Below are 7160 nucleotides of genomic sequence, written 5' to 3'. Positions count from 1 at the left end.
CAGGCGTTCATGAATATTTGTTGGATGAATGTGAGATTTAGGGTAACTTGTTGGTTTAAAAAGTTTTATTTTTGTTCCTTTTTAGCCATGCATTGAAATATCTGCTTTTCAAATGTAAGTACTACACTGAATCAGAGTTTAGCTTTTTGTAGAACTTTCTTCTCACGTGCATTATGTCAATCCATAGAACATCACATTGCCTTCTTATAAAACAAATCTGCACCTGTTGATAAGACAGTATAGACTGACTAAATTCCCTTTACCAAAAGGCAAACCAAAGCAATGTTGACTAGGAATCCTACTTTGCCAACTGTACCTTTCAAAACACTCCAACAGCCTGAAAGAGTGGAAAACACTTTTCTTCCATCAGAGACCAGACAGACCCTCTGTTGCAGGCAGCCTGGCTTAGAAGGGAAGACTTGTCACCCCCTTTCACAAGCGTGATGATTTGTGGCTGAGAAGGGAGAGGCTGCTCTCTGAACCACATGCTCCCTGGTGCAGGCAGGCTAAGGAAAGATGAATGGCATTATAAGACAGACATCTGAATGTTTCGTATTAAATTAGTCCCACAGAGCACCCAGAATTCTCATTCCATAAATCACAAAGTAAAGTAAACTCACTCCCAGGTTAGATTGCTGTGACTTTGGCCTGGGGTGTTATAGATAATCTGAGAACAGTTAAACATTTGTCTGAAATAGTAATAATTTTGAGCATATTTACTCAGCAGCATAGAGGTGACCCAGACTGATCTCTGCTGCCAGAAACAGCATGTAAATGGGAGTCAGCCAATTTAGAAGATTTCCAAACAAGAGTCACTGCTTCTCACATCCTCTGTCTACTCTGAAACTGCCATGAGCTCTTTCAGGAGCTCCTGGGTGCTGCAGGCCCAGATGAGCAAACTTCACCCTCTCTATAGAGCAGGTATGGGCTGGGCGTGGTGGCTCATGCCTGTAATCCTAGCACTTTGGGAGGCCGAGGTGGGTGGATCACCTGAGGTCAGGAGTTCAAGACCAGCCTGGCCAACATGGTGAAACCCCATCTCTACTAAAAATACAAAAATTAACCACGTGTGGTGGTGGGCACTTGTAATCCCAGCTACTTGAGAGGCTGAGGCAGGAGAATCTCTGGAACCCGGGAGGCGGAGGCTGCAGTGAGCCGAGATCACACCACTACACTCCAGCCTGGGCAACAGAGTAAGACTCCATATCAAAAAAAAAAAAAAAAAAAAAAAAAAGCAGGTATGAAAGAGCATGGATGCACCCCTCCCCCTCTACTAAATTGCAGTTATAGCACCATTTTGAAATCCACCTTCACCTTGTCTTGGTGTAAGAATCAGAGTTAGGAAGCATCTTGATTCCACTAAAGCCACATTTCTCTTCAATGACAAAGGCTTATTCTGAGACTATTTTACATATCTTTGGATCTATTCTGGTTCTTCCATTCTTGAGCTGACATTGTGGGTATTCAGGACACTAATTAGAATGGAAGGAATATTGGGCTGGGACTCATGAGATCATCCAACTTGATGCTGACTGGCCGAGGGACCATATAAGCTGCTACATCCTCTTCTAGAAAATGAAAAGAGCAGATTCCTCTAAAGTTGCACCCAGCTTTAAAAGTCTGATTCTAATTCAGTGATATGATTAGGAAGATATGATTTTATTTTTTCCTCTCTCTCTCTTCCAGCTGATTCCTGGAAGTTCATCTGCTTAGTAGGTCCTTTCTACAGGTGCTCACCAGGATCTGCATATGGGGTCACCTTCACCTTCAGAAGCCCAATTTAAATCTCACCAGAGCAACAGAGGGAGGTCATAGCATGACTTTGTGGTAGCCAAGGTCTGGAGGTCACTCCTTCCAGGGAAAGATTCCTGGACTTGGAGACAAAGGCCTGACTTGAGTCTTACCTTCCTGCAGTCTTGGGAAAGTTTCTTGGCATAAGACTCAAATGAGATCATCAACACAGGAAGAGAAGGGCACTAACATTTTTAGAGTGTCTACCTGTACCGGGCACCATAATGGACTTTTACATAAATGTTGTCTGTCTCATTCAGTATTCACAACCACCCTACGAAGTAGATATTTCTTCTACTACTTTTACATTTTACAGACGGGAAAGCTGGGCTTTCAAGAAGTGAAATATCTTTGCTAAAGGCACCAGCCAATAAGTGGCAGAACTGGGATTTATACCCAAATCTGCCTAACCTCAAAGCCTGCTTTTTCCATTTAGGTTCCCTAGAAACCCCTTGTAAGTTTTCAGTGCAATAGAAATGTTAGATGTGGTCTTGGTAATTCTGAAAATGAGTTCACTAGATGCCTTGAAGTGATCATTTTTATGGTTTAGTTGCCGCTTATTTGGATGACTTTCCTGATGACAACTGAGTTAGGCAAGGTAAGCTACATTTGGATGCCCAACCCAAGGTGTGAGAACAGAAATCTATTTCTCACATTTCTGGAGGCTGGGAAGTCCAAGATCACAATCAAGGCACTGGTGTATGGTGAGGGTCTTCTTACTGCTTCCCCACAGGGCAGAAAGTGGAAGGGCAAGAGAAAGCAAACCCACTCCCACATGCCCTTTTTATAGCAGCATTAATCCATTTATGAGGGTAAATCCCTCATGACCCAAATACCTCTCAAAATGCCCCACTTCCCAACGTTGTTGCATTGGGGAGTCAGTTTACAGAACATGACTTTTGGAAGTCATATTCAGACCACAGTAGGTGCCATAATTAAGTACCACAAGAGGGGTAGCTTAAACAACAAAAGTGTGTTGTCTCACAGTTCTGAAGGCTGGAAGTCCAAGATCAAGGTGTTGGCAGCACTGATTCCTTCTGAGGGCTATGAGGAAGAATCTGTGCCATTCCTCTCCTTAGTTTCTGATGATTTGCTGGTGCTGTGGACTGAAAATTTGTGTCCCTCCAAAATTCATATGTTGAAACCCAATCCTCAATGTAATAGTAGTAAGAGCTGGGACCCTTAGGGGCTAATTAAGTCATGAGGGCAGTAGCCTCATGAATGGAATTAGTGCCCTTATAAAATAAGCCCAAGAGAGCTGCCATGCCTCTTCCACTATGTGGGGACACAGCAAGAAGGCACCATTGGAACCAGGCACCATATGAAACAGGAAGCAAGCCCTCACTAGACACCAAATCTGCCGACACCTTGATCATAGACTTCCCAGCCTCCAGAACAGTGAGAAATAAATTTGTATTTTTTCTAAGCTACCCAGTCTATGTTATTTCATGATAGAAACCTGAATAGACTAAGAAAAGCTGGCAATCTTTTGACATTTCTTGGGTTGTAGAAGCATCACCTCAATCCCTGCCTTCATATTTATGTGACATTCTTCCTGTGTCCTTGGGTCCAAATTTTCCCATTGTTGTAAGGACATCAGTGATACTGGATTAGGGGCCCACCCTAGTCTAGTGTGACTTCATCTTACCTAATTACATCTGCAATGATCTTATTTCCAAATAAGATCACATCCTGAGGTGCTGGGGGTTAGGATTTTGACATGTGAATTTTGGGGGAATGCAATTCAACCCATAATAATCAGTAACAAAAATCCCCAAACCTCACCCACACAAGCCTTCTTCATAGCACAAGTGCCCTACCATTAAAGATTGCAACATTCTTTCTTGATGACATGCCTCTCTCTTTTATGTCTTTCTTGTTCCTTACTAACACTGATGTCTGATATTAATGGAAAAACCATTAAAAAAAAAACTATTATCCTATGAGGTAAATTGAATGCACTCAACTGTAAAAGGAAGACTTATCGATCAATTTTAGTTAAACCTTGCTTGTCTGACACTTTGCTGCTAAGGAATGTGTTTTTATTGCCTGGCCAGATAGTTCAGATTTCCGGTCAGTCTTAGTAAAGACCCCTTTTATAACATTGATAAAATTTTATCACAGAGCTATGAAAACAAAATTAGATTTCATAACTCACATCAGGCCTTGAAGGGGATGCCTCTATAAATTTTACAAACCCTATCAAGTTTAATGCACCTATTCTGATAATTTTTTCAATAGCAAATTCTACTGAACTTCATATATACTATGTGTGTATATAAATGTGTGTATGTGTGTGCGTGTGTTCATGTATATACATATATATAGATTTGTTTCTCTCTCTACCTTACAGGAAAGAAAACTTTCTTTACCCACTTATAAACAGAAGACTGTGACAAGAAGGCCAATTATTTCCATCGCTGAAGACTCTAAATTTGGCAAATCTTCTAAATAACAATCCTGCATAGTTTATTAAAAAAAATTAGTCGTAAAATTTATCCTTCAAAAATCTGCATTTTAAATAAACCCTGACAGTGATTTCTCAAGACTGTAAAGATATTAGTCTGAGAATGCAACTCTAACAGACTGCTCTGGGCATCTTTTCTCTTTGCCTTGGCCAGGCCTCTCAGAATTGAGTGAGCGTGTGACTCCATTTGCACAGTGGGACAGATGAGTACAACTGAAATAAAAAGTGGAGGCCTCTGCAAAAAATAAAAAATAAAAAATAAATTTATCCTTCAAAATAACTCAGTTTTTTCAATGGGCCTATTTTGAAGAATGAACATTGAAAAATGAGACAATATATCCATAAATTCATAGTATGACATACCATAATCGAGAGCATTGTTAGCCATAGACATTTTGTATGCCAGTGAAATCTGTATACATTCTCTAAATTTTTCCAGTTTATCGTGTGGCTTATTGGAAAAAAAAAAGCATATACACTGACTGCATGTTTTGTCTCCCCAACTAAATGATAAGTGCCTAGAGGGCAGGAACACCCTTGGTTTTATTTACTTGGGACAGAGCTCTACCCACAAGGGCTCACTGATAAAACTCATCAGTCCCACCCCACAGCAACATGATGGGGACATGAGGTTCAGTTCTTCTACTCTTGGCCTGAGCCGCAAACCAAAATTACAACAGTACAATGGGAATAGAGGATCTGCTTTATAGAATTTCCTTTCAGTCAGCTGCTCAGAAACTACAATCCTCAGAGTGAAATTAAATGGAGTTATACTGGGATAGTCCTCTCTGCTTTTCAGAGGAAAGAAACACTTCTCGAAATTGTGCAAATGAAAGAAATGTCATGGTATAAACTAGACATCTTATATCCTTAAAATATATCTTTGATGATTATACATATTGGTTTCAAATCCCAAGTTTGAAGAAACATCCAAAAGTTATGTGAAATTACTTATAGATGAATTGACAACATTTGAGACTTCGACAGGCAATCATGAAGCAGTTCTCAAGTTGATTTGGTTTATATAGCTCTTTAAGAATCTTTTGGAAAGCCATAATCTCACAAAATACAGATATGCAATTTTTTTTTTTTGAGATGGAGTCTCACTCTGTTGCCCAGTCTGGAGTTCAGTGGCGCGATCTCAGCTCACTACAAGCTCCCCTTCCCAGGTTCAAGCAATTCTCCTGTCTCAGCCTCCTGAGTAGCTGGGACTACAGGCGCCTGCCACCACACCCAGCTAACTTTTGTATTTTTAGTAGAGATGGGGTTTCACCTTGTTGGTCAAGCTGGTCTCAAACTCCTGACCTCAGGTGATCCACTCGCCTCTGCCTCCCAAAGTGCTGGGATTACAGGCGTAAGCCACCACACCCAGCCCAAAAAATGTTTGTGCACAGAACTGTGGATGTTTGTCACAGAACTTTCCAAATAAAGAAGTTCTGATAAAAGAGAAGATATTTCTCATTTCCATAATCTTTAAGGTGTGGGGGATACGTAATCTGGACTTCTCAAATGGATGATTTCTAAATACGCGTCAGATGAAGTGATTCTAACTTTCTCTGTAGTAATATCTTATTTTGTTTTATTCAAAAACAATAAACCATGTAGATTTATTAGCATGTGTGGGTGTGATTTTTGCATCTAGGAATCTTAAGTGGGAAAAGAGAAGGAAATATCAACTTCCTCAAACTGCGTTGTTAATTTTGGTCATTCCTTGGAGAAAACCCTTATTACCTGGAAGGAAAAAAGCTAATTAAGTTGACATGTCTCACAATCACAAAGCCATTTTGCTGGCTCCTGTTACAGGCAGAAGGAATACATACTGCTTTCCTTTTGTCTGTCAGGAGAATAATAGGGAACACTGACAGGCCTGGCAGTTGGGGATTGAAACTCAGCAGAGGAGTGGCCTGTAAACGCACAGAGCCTACCTGGAAATCCCTGCTGTTTGGCCATGGAAAAATGGGGCACCTTGGGTTGGAACCCCCAGCTATTTCCACTGCTACACTTTTAGTGCATTTATCTCTTATCTAAGATGGTGATGTTGCCAAGCGTTCAGATGACTTTCCAATGATTTTATTCCCAAGTCATGTTACAACTGTACTTCTGTTAATTTAGTCACTGTTTACTGTAGTTTTAGTTATAAATCCTGCAAAAAGTGTCTTCTGACTCCTTTTAAGGTATTTAGAAACCTCCTTAAAGCTATTAAATTTTGATATGTAAAAACATATTGGATTATGAATTAATGTCAATGTCATTGGCTAAATTATCAGATTATTAAGAGCACTAGACTAGGAGCCTGAAGATGCCCTTCAAGACCGCTATCCACTGTTTTGTTTCCAGAGCCCAGCATGGTGCCTGGGACACAGTAGGTGCTCGTTAAACCTTTGTTGAGTATCAAATGTAGAGTTGAGTTTCAACTGTAGCTTGATTCTCACCACCCATGGGACATATCTATTTTCTTATCTGTGGAATGAGAATAGTAATATTTCCCTTCAGCCCCAAAAAGTTATTTTTATCATCAGATAAAATGAAGCATGGAAAAGTACTTTTTCTGTGTTTTTAATGAAAGTAGTAGTCTTCAAAATTAGGCATATGTACTGTAGAGGAAGAAAAATAACTTTCTCTCAACCCTTCTGAGTTCTTAGCTGGGACAGACCACTAACAAAAGACAGACTAACAAGAGAAACACAAACAGAAGTTTATTAATGTGTATATCCCATTTATATATGGGAGGTGCCCAGGAAATGAGGAATTCTCAAAGAGGTGGTCTAAGTTTCAGGCTTAAATCCCATCTTTAACTAAAACAAAGAAAGAAGGGTGTGGGGAAGACCAGTTAAAAGGAAATGGCCAGTGTTCTCAGGAGGGGAAGTCTTGCCCAGTAGGTAAGAGCACTGGTGTGAAAGCT

General features: G+C 40.3%; 1 protein-coding gene across 13 annotated transcripts in view; it reads left to right on the top strand.

The window, feature by feature from the left end:
- The window catches only part of DCDC1 (doublecortin domain containing 1), a 506137-nt gene extending 500263 nt beyond the window's left edge, over positions 1-5874 (top strand). For 12 of the 13 annotated variants that reach the window (XM_024448478.2, XM_024448476.2, XM_024448475.2 and 9 more), the window contains one exon: positions 4145-5874. The gene's annotated coding sequence lies outside the window, so the exon portion shown is untranslated. The other variant, XM_024448472.2, reaches the window with a different exon arrangement.
- Positions 5875-7160: the final 1286 nt, after the last annotated feature.

The sequence above is a fragment of the Homo sapiens genome, chromosome 11 (genome assembly GCF_000001405.40).
Source record: "Homo sapiens chromosome 11, GRCh38.p14 Primary Assembly".
In the NCBI taxonomy this organism is placed as follows: Eukaryota; Metazoa; Chordata; class Mammalia; order Primates; family Hominidae; genus Homo; species Homo sapiens.
The sequence above is the reverse complement of the archived record's forward strand: the minus strand, read 5'-3'. Positions and strand labels throughout refer to the sequence as shown.